At 36.9% G+C, this 17,245-nt stretch overlaps 1 long non-coding RNA gene across 1 annotated transcript; it reads right to left on the reverse strand.

The window, feature by feature from the left end:
• Window positions 1-3,106: 3,106 nt before the first annotated feature.
• Window positions 3,107-10,154, reverse strand: LOC105373332 (uncharacterized). Its single transcript, XR_938577.2, has 3 exons — window positions 9,823-10,154; window positions 3,301-3,439; window positions 3,107-3,194 (listed from the first exon to the last, which is right to left on the reverse strand). It is a non-coding gene; the product is annotated as an uncharacterized LOC105373332 (long non-coding RNA).
• Window positions 10,155-17,245: the final 7,091 nt, after the last annotated feature.

Consider the following 17,245-nt stretch of genomic DNA (forward strand, 5'->3'; position numbering starts at 1 on the left):
CAGACCTGAAGGCAGCAGAGCAATGGGTATAGACCTACGCCCACTTTAACCACTACCTGTCTATTACCTATTTTCACTGAAGACCCTAGGGCTCTACAGTCAGCAGGAGGTGAAACCAGCAAGGTTGGTTTCCTTCCCTTCAGTGAAGCAAGTTACTCCAGGCCTTGTCAGGTCCAGAAATGCTGTCTGGGAGCCAGGAATTAGAGTTGAAACCTTAAAAATTTGCCCAGTGTTTCATTCTACTGTGGCTAACATTCAAATCACAATATAAAGTCCTTCCCACTATTTCCTCCCCTTTTTACAGACAGAGGAGCCTCTGCTTGTGGCCACAACCACCACCAGCCCATGGGGCGGTGGGGGTTCTGCTAGGCCACTGCCAATGTTAACTTAAAATCCAAGGCCTCTTCTGTCTGCTTATGGTGAATGCTTCCAAGGCTATGATTCACCCTTCTTGGTGATGGGCTCCTCTATGGCCTAATACAGGTCCAGAAATGCTATCCAAAAGCCTAGGCCAGGACTCAGGGACCCCAGGAGGCAGGTTGTTGATCTACCCTACTGTGTCTGAGCTGATGCCTAAGGTGAAAGACAAAGTCCCCTTTACTTTTCCCTCTGTTTTTCTCAAACAGAAGGAGTCTTTCACAATAGCCACCATAGCTGGGAATATGCTGAGTCACACCTGAAGTCAACATGTCTCAGAGTCCAAAGCCCATTGTAGACTACCTGAGTATCGCTGCTGGTTATTCAGGGACCACAGGCTCTTTGGTCACCAGGTGATGAATCCTGCCAAGACTGGTCCTTCCATTCAAGGTAGTGGGTTTCCCATTGGCTCAAGATGTGTCTAGAAATGTCATCCATGAGCTGGACCATGGAGTGGGTGCCTCATGACTCTACCTGGTGCCCTATTGTATTAGTCCATTCTCACACTGCTATGAAGAAATACCTGAGACTAGGTAATTTATAAAGAAAAGAGTTGTGGCTGGGTGCAGTGGCTAACACCCATAATCCCAGCACTTTGGGAGGCCGAAGTGGGCAGATCACGAGGTCAGGAGTTCAAGACCAGTCTAGCCAACATAGTGAAACTACATCTCTACTAAAAATACAAAAATAAAAACATAGTCAGGTGTGGTGGCACACATCTGTAGTCCTACCTACTCGAGAGACTGAGGCAGGAGACTTGCTTGAACCTGGGAGGCAGAGGTTACAGTGAACCAAGACCACGCCATTGCACTCCAACCTGGGTGACAGAGTGAGACTCTGTCTCAAAAAAAAAAAAAAAAGGAAAAGAGGTGTAATTGGTTTACAGCTCTGCAGGCTGCACAGAAAGCAGAGCAGCATTTGCTTGGCTTCTGGGGAAGCCTCAGGAAACTTAAAATAATGACGGAAGGCAAACAGGAAACCAACACTTTACATGGCAGGAGCAGGAGGAAGTGGGGGGAAGGTGCCACACACTTTTAAACAACCAGCTCTCTGGAGAACAGCACTAGGGGATGGTGCTAACCCATTCATGAGAGCTCTGCTGTCTGAACCTCATGATTCAATCACCTCCCACCTCCAACACTTAGGTGAGGCCCCACCTCCACCACTGAGAATTACAATTCAATGTGAGATTTACTGGGGACACAGATCCAAACCATATCACTTATCCTACTGTGGCTGACCTGGTATCCAAGGTACAATACCAAGTTCTCTTTCCTCCTCACCCTCCTGTCCTTAAACAGAAAGAGAGTCACTTTCATTGCTGTGAGCTGTGCAGTCTGAGGTTGAGGTATGGATACCACAAGCCCTCCCTAAGCTGCCGTGGGTAGTTTCTTCCTGAGTCACATGCCACCTAGTCTTCTGGCTCTGAGCTTAGCCCAGCACTAGGAGTTGCCTAGGAATTGCAACCCTAGGTCCTAGACTGCCTTTCAAGATTACATAGGACCCTAGAGCATTTTGGTCTGTGGTGGCAAGGCTTGCTCAAAAACTCATGTTCTGACAACTGGGATGGGTGATTACTCTCTGGCCAGGACTAGTTCAAATGCTCCCTCCATGCATGGGTGCTAGCTGAGCTCAGCATGGCTTTGCTCTCCGATAAGGCAGGGAAGCACTGTGTTCAATATAAAGTCTCCCAGTGCTGCACTCTCCCTTCCTGAAGTACACAGACTTCTCTATCAGGGGAACCCACCCCCAATATTTCAACATAGGTTCTTTCTATTTTCCATAAGTGTTGGCCGACTGAGAAATAAAAGAAAGAGTACAAAAAGAGGAATTTTACAGTTAGGCTGCCGGGGGTGACATCACATATCAGTAGGACCATGATGCCCACCTGAGCCTCAAACCAGCAAGTTTTTTATTAAGGGTTTCAAAAGGGGAGGGGGTGTAAAACAGGGAGTAGGTACAAAGATCACATGCTTCAAAGGGCAAAAAGCAGAACTACCTATAAGGGTCCAACAAAGATCACAAGGCAAAGGGCAAAAGCAGAACTATTGATAAGGGTCTATGTTCAGTGGTGCGCATATTGTCTTGATAAACATCTTAAACAACAGAAAACAGGGTTCAAGAGCAGAGAACCAGTCTGATCACAAATTTACCAGGGCAGAGTTTTTCTCTACCCTAGTAAACCTGAGGGTACTGCAGGAGACCAGGGCGTATCTCAGTCCTTATCTCAACCACATAAGACAGACGCTCCCAGAGTGGCCATTTATAGACCTCCCCCCAGGAATGCATTCCTTTCCCAGGGTATTAATATTAATATTTCTTCCTAGGAAAAGAATTTAGCGATATCTCTCCTACTTGCACATCTGTTTATAGGCTCTCTGCAAGAAGAAAAATATGGCTCTTTTTGCCGGACCCCGCAGGCAGTCAGACCTTATGGTTGCCTTCCCTTGTTCCCTAAAAATCACTGTTATTCTTTCCTTTTTCAAGGTGCACTGATTTCATATTGTCCAAACACATATGTTTTACAATAATTTGTATAGTTAACACAATTATCACAGTGGTCCTGAGGTGATGTACATCCTCAGCTTACAAAGATAACAGGATTAAGAGATTAAAGACAGGCATAAGAAATTATAAAAGTATTATTTAGGAACTGGAAAATGTCCATATTAAAATGAAATCTTCACAACTTATGTTCCTCTGCCACGGCTCCAGCAGGTCCCTCCGTTCAGGGTCCCTGACTTCTCGCAACACTTCCCACATCATAGGGCCTTTGGCTGGGGATGGAAGAGAGGTGGTGTCAGTGATCCAAGACTGCTTCTATGGCCCACTCCAATACCTCTTTCAGTGATGAATTTAAAACCAGGTACCGTGATTATTCACCTGATGTTTGATTCTTATCACGGTGCTTTTCTGTGTGCAGATAGTTGTTAAAATGTGGTATTCCTGCAGAGGGCACACATGACATAGGCTTCTATTCTGCCATCTTGCTCTGCCCTCCTGTCTCAGATTTGGCCAGAACCTTGTAGAGTAGAAGAGACAGCATGATTGCCTCTCTTCTCATAAGACTTTTGTGTCTATTAGTTCTACTTAAATGTTATATAACTAATTAATGCAGTGTACAAATTTATTAAATATGATTTAATGAATATGAAATGTAATATTTAATACTGATTTTATATTGGCTGAAAACAAAAAATAATGAAAAACGAGCCAATAAATTCTAGAACTTCAGATACATCATTAGTTATTAAAAAGTTCTGAGTGTTTGATAGGCTCATTGATAGTAATAGTGTTGCAGGCAGACAGCCAGAAAACACTGGGCTTTATTGACTATTTTACTGAAGAAGAACTGCAGAAGACATAGGAGAATATCTTCGTGCACAAGGTTTACACAAAAATTTCATAGATATAATAAAGATTATTTAAATCACAAAAGTATAAATGATAAATTGGATATCGCCAATATTAAAAAATTCTGCTCTTTGAAATATACTGTTTAGAAAATAAAAAAGTCATAGGAGGCTGAGGCTGGAAGATCACTTGAGCCCAGGAATTTGAGGCTGCGGTAACCTATGATTGTGCCACTGCCTTCTAGCCAGAGTGACAGAGTGAGACCCTATCTCTTCAAAACAAATTTAAAAAATGAAAAAAGAGGTCACAGGCTAGGGAAAATATTTGCAATTCACATATCTGAGAAAAGATTTGTATCTAGGATATGCAAAGAGTTCTTACAAGTAAATAGAAAACAACACAACAAAAAAATGAGCAAGAGATTTGAACAGACAGTTCATCAAAGAACATATTCAGATGTTAAGTAAGCACAGATAAAGATGTCTAACATCACTAGCCACTGGGAAAAATGCAAATTAAAACTACAGTATCACTAAATATTGGCTAGAATAAATAAAGTTAAAAATTACTGGAAGTGTAAAGTATAGGTGAAGATACAGAACACTGGAAATCTCATATATTTCTGATGGAAATACAAAAGTGAAGGACAATTTTATAAATATTTTGGTGATCTCTTTCAAAATAAATCATACATATACCATATGACCCAGCAATCCTACTCCTAGTTATACATTAATTAAAATGAAAACGTATATCTTTATGCGAAAATTGTACAAAAATGTTTCTAGGAGTCTTATTGATAATTGTCAAAAACTGGAACAACCCCAAAGCACATTCACTGGCACATATAACAATATATTATGCTACAGTCATACAATAGAATGCTTTTCAGAGGCGAGGCACCATGGCTCATGCCTGTAATTCCAGCACGTTGGGAGGCCAAGGCAGGTGGATCACCTGAAGTCAGGAGTTTGAGACCAGCCTGGCCAACATGGTGAAACCCTGTCTCTAATAAAAATACAAAAATTAGCCAAACATGGTGGTGCGTGCCTATAATCCCAGCTCCTCAGGAGGCTGAGGCAGGAGAATCACTTGAACCCAGGAGGAGGAGGTTGCAGTGAGCTGAGATCTCACCATTGCACTCCAGCCTGGGGGACAGAGAAAGACTCCATCTCAAAAAAAAAAAATCCTATTCAGCAACTAAAAAAGATGAAATACTAATACTCACAATAACATGGATGAATCTCAAAGGAATTAGGATAAATAAAAGAAGCCAACTTAAAAGGCTGCATACTGCATGATTTCATTTATATAATATTCCAGGAAAGACAAAATCATAAGTAGAGAAAGCATTTTAGTGGTTGCCAAGCTTGAGGGATGTTCAAATTTTTTTTTTTCAGAGAACTTACTGTAACAGAAGCTCATAATTATTTTTGGAGTGATAGATTTTCACAACTGTAGTGACCGTATGATTGTATACAATTGTCAAAACTCATCATGCTACCTACCCCTCCTCCATTAAGAAGAATTGAAATAGTGAGTAGTCATACTTTGAATAGATCACCCAAGAGAGAACACTGGAATTTAAAAGAAATGTCACAGAAAACACCTACAGACAGAAAGAAAAGGAAAACAAAGCAGCCTACTTGTTCAGGTTCAGCTGGGAGCTAGGAAACACCAATTTGAGGAAACAGTAAGTTAAAGATCTCCAGTCGTCAGCATTCCCACCATGGACTCCTACATTCCTAGCCATAGTAAAGCACTTTGACCCTTCTGGGTCCTGAAACTAAACATAGGGAGTTGCCTGGTCACACAGCCTGATGGCATTTAAACAGGGAGGTAGCTTGTGCTGGGTACCAGACGCCGAACAAGTGCTAAGCAGCTAAAGTATCCTGCCATTTTATAGCCCAGCTCTAGAGAAACTGCAGGTTGTCCTAGGGTGCGGTAGTGCTGGGGCTGAAACGTAAACAAAACATGAACTGCTACAGAGGCTGAGGCATGAGCGTGGTGAGGGGTGCCACTGCCTGACTTGAGAGGCAAACAGGGCAAGTGTTCTCCATCCACTGGTATAGGCTGCTACCACTGAAGGTGGCCCCACCCTCACCAGTTGAAGGGCTACAGCATGGCTGCTGCAGATCTCACTCAAGCGTTCTAATGGAGCTCTGGGAATTGCTCTGCCTCTGCCTACATGGCAGGTATCTGCACACTATTGGGGGCCTATGTATAAATTTGTCCAGCCCGACTTTGTCTCCCCCAAACCTGTGCAGTCTATGGGCCTTGGAAATTCCCAGCTCAGTCTACCGCTGTTGGTACCTGCACATCCCTCCAAGATGTCCATGATTGTGTTTACTACCCAGCTGCTACCACCACAGCTGGCACTTCTCTGCATGCACCACCTGTGGGCCTAGAGACTGGCCCACCCATCCCACGACAGAAAGTGCCAAGCAAGCACGTGCTACTCAGGACACAAAAGGTCATCCTGCCATGCTATTCCCATCATCCCCACCACACTGGCCCTGAGAATCTGCCCAACTGCCCAGCCTGCCACTGCCACTACTGGCATCTAAGCAAGCCACCTAAAGACCCGAGAATTGGCCAGCCAGGACCTGCTGACACCAGTGCCAACACATGCTTCCATGAGATCCAAAGACAGGTATGCTTAGCCCAAAACTGCCACCACTGCAATTGTATTTATATCAGATAAAACAGATTTCAACTCAAAAACAGTTAAAAAAAGAGACAAAGACAGTTATTATATGAAGATGAAGGGCATAATTGAACAAGAAGATATAACAATTCCAAACCTTTATACACCCACCAACTATGTATCCAGATATATAAAGCAAATATTATTAGATTTAGAGGAAGAGACAGACTCCTATTCAATAATTCTTGGGAATTTCAACACCCCAATATTAGTGTTGGATCATCTAGATGGAAAATTAACAAACAAACATTAAATTTAAATTTCACATGAGAACAAATAGACCTAACAGACATTTGCAAAGCATTTCATCCAATAGCTACAGGATACAGTCTTCTCATCAGCACACAGAACATTCACCAGAATAAACCATATTAGGCAACAAAACAAGTATAAACACATTTTTTTAAAAATCAAAATCATATCAAGTATATGCTCAGATCCCATGAAATAAAACTAGAAATCAATACCAAGAGGAGGTTTGGAAACTGTACAATGAGATAGACATTAGGAAACATGCTCCTGAATGACCACTGAGTCAAGGAAGATATTAAGGAGGAGATCAAAAAGTTTCTTAAAACAAATGAAAATCAAAATGCCACATGGCAGCATTTTGCAAAATACAGGATGCAGGATAGAGCGAAAGCAGTGTTAAGAGAGAAGTTTATAACAATAAACACCTACATAAAAAAGTGGAAAGATTTCAAATAAACAATATAATAATGCACCTCAAGTAACTAGAGAAACAACAAGTCAGACCCCAAATTAATAGGCGGAAATAAAAAATAAAGACCAGTATATAGCTAAAGAAATAAAAACTGAAGAAAAGGATTGCAAAAAGAAAACAGTTGTTTTATAAATTTGATAAAGCACGTGCTACATTAACCAAGAAAAAAAAGATCCAAATAAACGAAATCAGAAATGAAAATGGAATTACAAGTGCTAACACAGAAATACAAAATATCATCAGAGAGTATTATGAGCAAAGATATACTACCAAACTGGAAAACCTAGAGGAAAGGAATAAATTCTTAGAAACATACAGCTTGCCAAGATTGAATCAAGAAAAATAAAACAGAAAGCTGAACAGGCCAATAATAAGTAATAAGATTGAATCAGTTATAAGTCTCCCAACAAAGAAAAATTCCAGGCCCAGATTGATAATACCAATTCTCCTCAAACTATTCCAGAAAAAAAAGAAAGAAAGGAAAAAAAACAAAAATAAAAAAACATTGAGGAGAAATTCTCCCTAACTCACTCTACAAGGCCAGCATTATCCTGATACCAAAACGAGACAAGGGTACAACAACAAAAAAGAAAACTACAGACCAATATCAACAATGACCATAGATGCAAAAATTCTCAACAGAATGCTAACAAAAAAATTTCAGCAGCATATCAAGAAAATAATAAACTATGATCAAGTCAGATTTGTCTGAGGAATGCAAGTATGGTTCAATATACCCAAATTAATAAATGTGATAGATTACATCAACAGAATAAAGAACAAAATCCATATGGTCATCTCAATTGGTGCCAAAAAAGCATTTGATAAAATTCAATATCCCTTCATGCTAAAATTGTTCAACAAACTAGGCATACAAAGAACATATCTCAACATAATAATGGCCATATATGACAAACTCACAACTAATATCATACTGAATGGAGAAAAACTAAAAGGCTTTTTTTCTAAAAACTGGAACAAAACTAGGATGCCCACTTTAACGACTCCCACTCAACATGGTACTGGAAGTCCTAGTCAGAGCAATCAGGCAAGAGAAATAAATAAAAGACATATAAATTTAGAAAAGAGAAAGTCAAATTGTCATTTGTTGGTGATACGATCCTATATGTAGAACAACCTAAATCTCCATCAAAAAAACTCTCAGAATTAATAAACTTGCAAAACACAAAATCAATATAAAAAAGTAGCTTCTCTATATACCAACAACGAACTATCTGAGAGAGAAGTCAAGAAGGCAATTTCATTTACAATAGCAACAAAAAAAAATAATGAGGAATAAATTGAACCAAGGTGGTGAAAAATGTCTACAAGGAAAACTACAAAACACTGATAAAAGTAACTGAAGAGAACACAAAATAATGGAAAGACATCTCATGCTTATGGATTGCAAGAATTAATATGGTTAAAATGACCATACTTCCCAAAGTCATCTACAGATTCAATGCAATCCTTATCAAAATACCAACATCATTATTCACAGAATCAGAAACAACAATTATAAAATTTGCATGGAACAACAACAACAACAAAGAATTCAAATAGCCAAAGCAGTTCTGACCAAAAAAAAAAAAAAAAAATCCCCCAAAATTAAAAAGCTGCAGTGATCACACTACTTGACTTCAAAATATATTACAAGGCTATACCAAACCACCAACCATCCAACCAAGGCATGGTATTGGTATAAAAACAGACACCTATAACAATGTTACATAATAGAAAACCCTGAAATAAATGCATATACTCATAGCAAACTGATTTTTCACAGAAGCATCAAGAATATGCAAAAGGGTGCCCTCTTCAATAAATGGTGCTGGGTAAATTAGATATCCATATGAAGAAGAGTAAAACTGAATCACTACCTCTCATGTCATACAAAAGTCAATTTAAGATGGATTAAAGACTTAAACATTACACCCCACACTGTAAAACTACTAGATTAAAACATAGGGAAAACACTTCAGGTCATTGATTTAGGTAAAGATTTTACCTTTTGGCTAAGACCTCAAAAGCACAGACACAAAAATAAAAACAAACAAATAAAGCTATATTAAACTGAAAAGCTTCTGCACCACAAAGGGAACAATCAACACAGTGAAGAGACAACCTGTTGAATAGGAGAAAATATTTGCAAACTATTCATCCACCAACAGACTAATATCTAGCATATACAAGGAACTCAAACAACTCAACAATTAGAAAATGAAGAATCCCATTTAAAAGGGGGAAAATGTCATGAATTGACATTTCTCAAAAGGAAATGAACATGCCCAACGGGTATATGGAAACATGCTCAATATCACTGGTGCAACTTAAATCCTACTTGTTATATTTGAAAAAAGACTGAATATCTCTACAGAAGAAAAAGGATAGAAATAATCACACCTAACAACTGTAAGTTGTTAATTATAACCAAGAATTATGTTTCTTTTTTATTAAAAAGAAAAGACATTTTCATGCAAAGCTTAAGTAGTACATATTCATCACACTTTGTTCTTATCTGCTGCAATTAATCCAAAATGTTCAAGGAAGTTAGCTCTTATTATGCCCCAGAGTAGTCATTACATGAGGTAGCTATTAGTAGGCAAGTATTATTCCTTACAAAAGCTTCATTGTTTTATCCTTCACTCTTCATTTTAAGATAACTTCTTTCTTCAAAAGCCCTTCTGCATCCAATTCAGGTTATTTTCTTTCACTTATTCCCACAAAAGGAAAATTTCTAAAACACATAAAATGAAAATAAAGTGACTTTTTACAATCCATGTATATATGACAACTTTACTCACTTTGCCCTTCTTAAGTAACATTCTCAAAAGACTGTCAAATGAAGAGACATTATACTACAACTTAGCTAGGTGAAATGTACATTTCTTTATTTGTGTAAGAAGATATATTCCAATAATGAAGAAGACTACGTGGTGTGAAGAGACAGAAGAAAATTCGTATACAAGTGAAAGTCATTTTCAATTTTCCACTGAAATATCTGAGAATATATACATATACATATATATATAACAAAATCATAAAAAATGTCTGACAACCAGTTGCCATAATTAATGAAGAATTTCCAGTACTTTTAAGGCTAATGGAGGAAGGTTCAAGCAAATAATTAGTGGCCAATCTCACTATCTATGAAATATGACATAGCTTGAAAAAAGACAAGTAGCTCATTTAAAAAAAATCTTCCATTAAATATTACTTATATCTGAGACTCTGAAACCCAGGGTAAGTACTAATGAGATAATTAGACAGCCATTCCATTGTCATAGCAATTAATGTTTGCATTCTATCTATATATTTACCTACCTCTCTATGATCTGTTTATTCATCTGTCTATCTAATCTGTTCATTTATCCATGTGATAAAGTTTAATCCCAAGAAATCATTGCAGGCTTATGAGAGAGACTAAATGTCATGCTTTTGGAGCAGCAGTCTTGAAAATGTGAAATATTATTTGGGAATGAGAATGGAACAACCTGTGTGGAATATGCAGATCAAAAGTGTGCTTTGGTTTCAAAGCTAAATAATAGAAATATGATCTATTATTTCCTGGATTTATTATTCTTCATCACTATATGGTACATTTCAGTAGCTTTTTAATTATAACATAAGCTGTATAAGAGCAGATGTTAATCTGATTTTGTCTGTTTGTATTCTATCAAGAACAATGCCTGGCACATTGAGATGCTCAACCAACATCAAATGATTGATTAAAAGATGTTTCTAATATAGTGTTGAGGAAAATCTGAATAAATTATATATTTATAGTTTATCTATTTCTACCCTCTACTGGAATCCACTTTTCTTCAGAGCAGGAAAGATATCTTACTGGTTTACAAATATCCAAGCACACAGGACAGTGTCTGGAATGTAAGTGAATGTTTTTTCAGTTAATTAAAGATTTGTGCCAGAGAGAAAATAGAAGCCGGAAGGTATACAACATAGAATAAATAAAAATTATAAAAATGTATTGTGATCAATTGTTTCATTTTACCCATTGAAAAGGTAAAAAAATAATAATAATTTCCAGTGTATTAGTATGGTTTCTCCAGAGAAATGGAGAGAGACAGATAGATAGATAGATAGATAGATAGACAGACAGACAGATAGATATAGATAGATGATTGGTAGGTAGATGATAGATAGATAGATAGATAAAAAATTATTATAAAGAAATTATTATAAAGAATTGGTTCATCCAACTGGGGAGGCTGAGAAGCCCCCGGATCTGCGTCAGCAAGCTGGAGAGCCAAGAGAGCCGATGGTATAGTCCCAGTCCAAGTCCAAAGTCCTGAGAACAAGGAAAACCAATTACATAAGTTCTAGAATGAGTCTAAGTCTGAAGGTGGGAGAAGACTGATGTCTCAGGTCAAATCACTCACAAAGAGAGAATCCCTTCTCACCAAGCCTTTGTTATATACAGACCTTCAATGAATTGGATGAGGCCCACCCAAATTAGAAAGGAAAAACAATTTTTCTCAGATTACCAATTCAAATGTTAATCTAATCTAGAAACACCTCACAAACACTCTCAGAATAATATTTTACCAAATACAGTGGCACTTTGTGTCCAAATAAATTTGAAACATAAAATTAACCATCAAATGCAGCAATTACTAATAATCATTGAGTCCTTATTATGTCTAATTACATTGCTTATATTATTTCATTTACTCCTTAAAACACCAAACAAATCAGGTACCATTATGTTCACCATTTTACTGAGGAGGAATCTGAGGTAGTTTAAGACACATGTCTTCACAGTAGTTCATATCTCTCCAAGTAATTTCAAATCAGAAACAAAATTTAAGTCTTAGCATTTGTATCCCTTTATTTTTAAGGAGCGTCATATACATAATATGTAAATTTAATGAAGAAGCTCATTTATCTCCTTTATTCACCATTGTATCACTATAGACTAGAGCGTGCTTTTCCTCTATAAACACTCAATATTAGTTTAATGAATTACATTAGACAATTTAGCTCATAGGCCTTGAGTTCAATAAAGAAGATTGGAAATGCAGTTGACCCTTGAACACCACAAGTTTGAATTATGTGTGTCTACTCCTATGTAGATTTTCTTCTGCCTCTGTGACAATTGAGACAGTAAGACCAACCCCTTTTCTTTCTCTTCCTCCTCAGCCTCCTCAACATGAAGACCACGTGGATGAAGACCTATATGATGATACATTTCCACTTAATGAATAGTAAATATATTTTATCTTCCCTATGATTTTCTTAATAACATTTTCTTTTCTCTAGATTAATTTAGTATAATAATACAATATATAATACATATACAAAATATGTGTTAATTGTTTATGTTATTGGTAAGTCCTCCAGTCAATAGTAGGCTATCAGCAGTTACATTTTTGGGAAGTCATAAGTTTTTCATGGATTTTCAACTCTGAAATGTGTCCGTGCCCTTAACCTCTGCATTGTTCGAGGGTCAACTGTACATATTTTGAAGGGAGGAGTACAGACGTTACTTGAAGCTCTTTTATTAAAATATTCAACAAATATTTAATCAATCCTTGATCTCTGCCTGTCACTGATTCTGTGGATATAGCAAATCTAATGATATCTCTGCCTTTAAGTAGCTTACAGCATAGTGGGGAACAGATGGGATGACTTAGGGAATGTGCGTAGTGAAGTAAGAGAAGATAGTTGATACCTGAATCATTGGGAGACTACCACCAACAATAGATGAAAAAAAATGAAGTGTATTTCACCAAGAAGCAAGGAAGATGAGAGTTACCGAAAGAATAACAAAGGCAATATTGTCAAATGCTGCAGAGTTCAAATAAAACCTGAAAAAAAAAAAACAGACTTCACAATTGGTTAACAATCTCTGAGACATCGGTTCCAGTGGCAACAGGTGAGGCAGATTTCTATGATTCAACATGGTTACGGTAGTAATCTTCAGCACCCTAATATTGTTTGTGGAGCTCTAAACACCATATTATATCTTTTAAACAATAAATATTTGTTGCATTATTAAATAAAGGAATTTTGAAGAAGTGTAAATTTGTGAGTGAATGCACAGGCAGTGTCACCTTAACTATCTAGGTTTATCTTCAGTTACTTTTAGTATGAAATTTATCTTAGAGCTTTTAAATTAAACAGTAATGTGTTTTTCATCTGTATCTTTGCTCATGCTGTCCTAATTACCTGAAATAGCCCTATTTCTACTTTTTAATTCAAAGTCTATACCTTTTCCCCCAAATCCAATTTAACATCTTCTTCATTAAAACTTCTTTCATTTTTATATCATAATTATCTCCTCATCTTTAATTTTTCATAGAATACATAAAGCTGTGCTAAACATTTTCACACTTGATCAACTATCTGTTCGTATTTATATTTTTCTCTCAAAAGATGGATAGCTTCAGCAGAACTGGACGCATTGAAGCACATGGCAATATGTGCTTAATACATACACAAAACTTAATTGACTATATATTTCATGAACCTTACTTTAACATTGAGGGAAATTGAGAGATGAAGCAAAATTCTTCAAGGAAATTATTGGAAGCCATTTATTTTTTGTCCTTACTTGTACCCTTCCCCAACTTTCATATGAATGTCTTTTCCCACATTCTATGACTGCTGTTGTAGGAATAAAAAAAAAAGAAAATTAAAACAGTGTTACTGATGGTCTCATTTGATAACTATGCCTTGTAGTCGAAATAAAATCGATTTAGTCAGTTATAGAAATGTTGACTTTGTGTTTTGCTAGAAACTGAATGTAGAGTTAAGTGCTGACATCTTTTGGATTGGGTGGTTTTGCTTATATTGCCATGTGGTTATATAAAGAGTATTGAAGTGAGAATTTGAAATGTTGTGTAGATATAGAAAATAATAGTCATTTCTAGATATTTTTCCTTTCTTTATAAAGTTAACCAATTGAGTCTTTTTTCATTATTATCTGTAAACACATCTGGACTTACTAAATTTTCATTATTCAGAGTTCAACACAAGTCTTAGCAGGATACAAAGGCATGAATATTAAACCATTTCAACAGCCAGTTTTTTAAAGAATCATATTTAGAGCCTTGCTGCATTTCAATTTCCCCACATGGCTTCATGAATTAATAACTTTTGGAGGTCATCATGGACTATCTGCTAGCTGTTCTGTATGATGAGATGAGCAGGGAGCAGGTGAATCAAGCAAGGCGGAGATGGCTTCCTGAATTGAACAGGATATAACATTTGGGTACTTTTATTAGTTTTGTATTCTCTCCCTGCAGCTGAGGGCCATCCACTCTTTTTTTCACAGTATTTTCAAGTGTATACCCCTTTTTCTTTGTTTCTTCTTTCTTGGTTCTATTTCATGCCTCCCCCTCCCCAAGGAAAAAATGATTAGGGCTGTGGACATTAATTTATTTTGATCCGTTTATTCCAATCATGAAGCTAGATTTGTGTGTGTGCATGTGTGTGTGTGTGTGTAACTTTTATTGAATATTAAATATATGCCAAGAATAAGAACAAGTGCCTTCACATGGAGTCTTACGTAATCTTCTCAACAAACCTATTAAGTGACTGCTCTGATTATCTCCACTTTATAAATGAGGTTAAGTTGCCTGCCTGTGTCACACAGCTAATAATGGACAGCGCCATAATTTTCATCCTCCATTAAGAAATGTTTTTCAAGATTAAAGACAGCTAAACTCACACCTGAGTAACACCAAATGCATGCTGTTAAACACTGTGCTATTTTTTGTGTGGCTGTTTGGCTGACTTGAACAATTCATCATCTAAATTTTCTTACAGGTGACTCATAAAAATGTGGGACAGAGTAGGCCTATGGCTCACTATTGGCTCCTTTTCTAATTATTGGTAAGTATGCTGGAGCATCAGGATATTAATCTGTGTGCCAGTTTATAAACCCGCATTCCTCTTCTTTGGATTCTTACCCACTCTACACAATGTAAGAACATAAGCAGTCTAGCTGACTCCCCAGCATTAGTAGGGGCTATGGTTCCCTTTAGGATACTTAAATTTAAGAGTTTACATTGGTAGAGATTATGTTTTCCCTGTACAACAGCTCTCTGTAAACTACTAACTTGTGGCACATAAACAGATTCTGCCTGGAGATCACATTGATGGGGCAGCTCAGAGCTAACTTAAATAATAGCACGTGTCTGTCTACCTGTTAGTGCACAGTCATTTTCTATAGTAAAATAAAGAATATTTATTGTTTGTGTGCCATACACTCTGTTAAGTGTCTTGTGTTTATTATTTCATTTAATTTACACAGCTATATGAAGAGGGAAGTACTTTTATTATTTATATTTTACAGCCGAAAAATGCTAGTAAGTGGGAATTTGAGATTTGACCTAAGATTGATTCCAAAATCGATTTTCTTATCTACCATGTCTATTATCTTTATTTAAACATAAAGATATTTAAATATATTTAAACATAAAGATATTTAAATATATTTAAACATAAAGATATTTAAATATATTATTTAAACATAAAGATATTTAAATATATTATTTAAACATAAAGATATTTAAATATATTATTTAAACATAAAGATATTTAAATATATTATTTAAACATAGCCATTTTTTTCTTTTTCCACTTTCATTTTAGAATCATAGGGTACATGTGCAGGATTGATACAGAGGAATATTGTCTTTTGCTGAGGTTTAAAGTATGACTAAACCCATCACCCTGGTATTGAACACAGTACCCCATAGGTAGATTTCCAGCTTTTTGTCCCCTCCCTCTCCCCACTCTAGTAGACCCCAGTGTTTATTGTTCCCATCTATATGTCCATGTATACCCAAAAAAAAAACCATTCTTACTTGATTTTGATATTTGTGCCAAGAGGAGTATATTATTTCTTAGGATAGTGGTTAGAATGTCAGCTTGTGAGATTGCCAATGCCACTGACATTTCCTTTTAGAAGTTAATGCTACTTCCTTAGATGGAAGGAAAGATAAGGACTGGTCAGTAGCAATTTTCTCTTAAAACTGTGGCTCCTGAGGTCATCGGATTTTAGTCTTATAAGACTGTGCAATGTTTCTCTTTGCCATTGAATTATTGTTTCTTAACCTGATGAATGCCCTCTGCCTTCTTTCCAAAGTCATGGATAATAACTGTCATTGATGTCTTAGTCAGTTCTGGCTGCTGTAATTGAACACCGTAGACTGGGTAGCTTAAATTATATTTATTTCTCACAGTTCTGGAGTCTGCAAGACTGAGATCAGGGTGCCAGCATGGTCAGGTTCTAAGTGAGGGCTCTCTTTCTGGTTTAATAATGGCTGCTGTCTTGCTGTATCTTCACATGGTGGAGAGGGAGAATACTGCTCTCTTTTTTCTCTTACCTGGGCACTTATGACATCATGAGGGCTTCACCCTCATCGCATTATTTCAACTTATTCACCTCCTAGAGACTCTTCCTTCAAATACTATTATAGTGAAAGGTAAGCCTTCAACATATGGATTTTGGGGGGACACAAGCATTCAGTCCATAGCCCATGGATTCTTGCAAGTTTCTTGATTCTTCTGTTTAGAGACAGACTATTTAGAGATAGATGATTTAGCTGATCCAAGAGGAACAGATTGTTTTCCTTTTGTTTCTTCCCTGAATATGGGCTTAATACCTTTTTATAAACTCAACCTATAACCATTGAACAACTATAGACACTATACTAGGCTCTAGAGATTCAACTACGACCAAAAAGGATATATTTTACCCTACAGATCTGAGTGAAGTGAATGTTACTCTCCTACACTCAAACTATATCCCATCATGTCAGAATTTCCTAATATCATTCCCTCTGAGAAGCACAAAATTTATATCATTCTTTCCTGTTTTTATTCTATGAGAAAGTTTTGTCCCATGTCAATGACATTATTTTTCTAGAACCCAGAACTGTCAGTTACTACTATTTACAGTTTTCTCAATGTCTGGTGGGGCATTTTCTTACAGTTCATTGTGCATCTCTTTTGTTATACAATGCCTATATGTATTGGGCATTATGCTAGGTGCTGAGGATTAAAGGAGGTAG

Source organism: Homo sapiens, chromosome X (assembly GCF_000001405.40).
Source record: "Homo sapiens chromosome X, GRCh38.p14 Primary Assembly".
NCBI classification, from domain to species: Eukaryota; Metazoa; Chordata; class Mammalia; order Primates; family Hominidae; genus Homo; species Homo sapiens.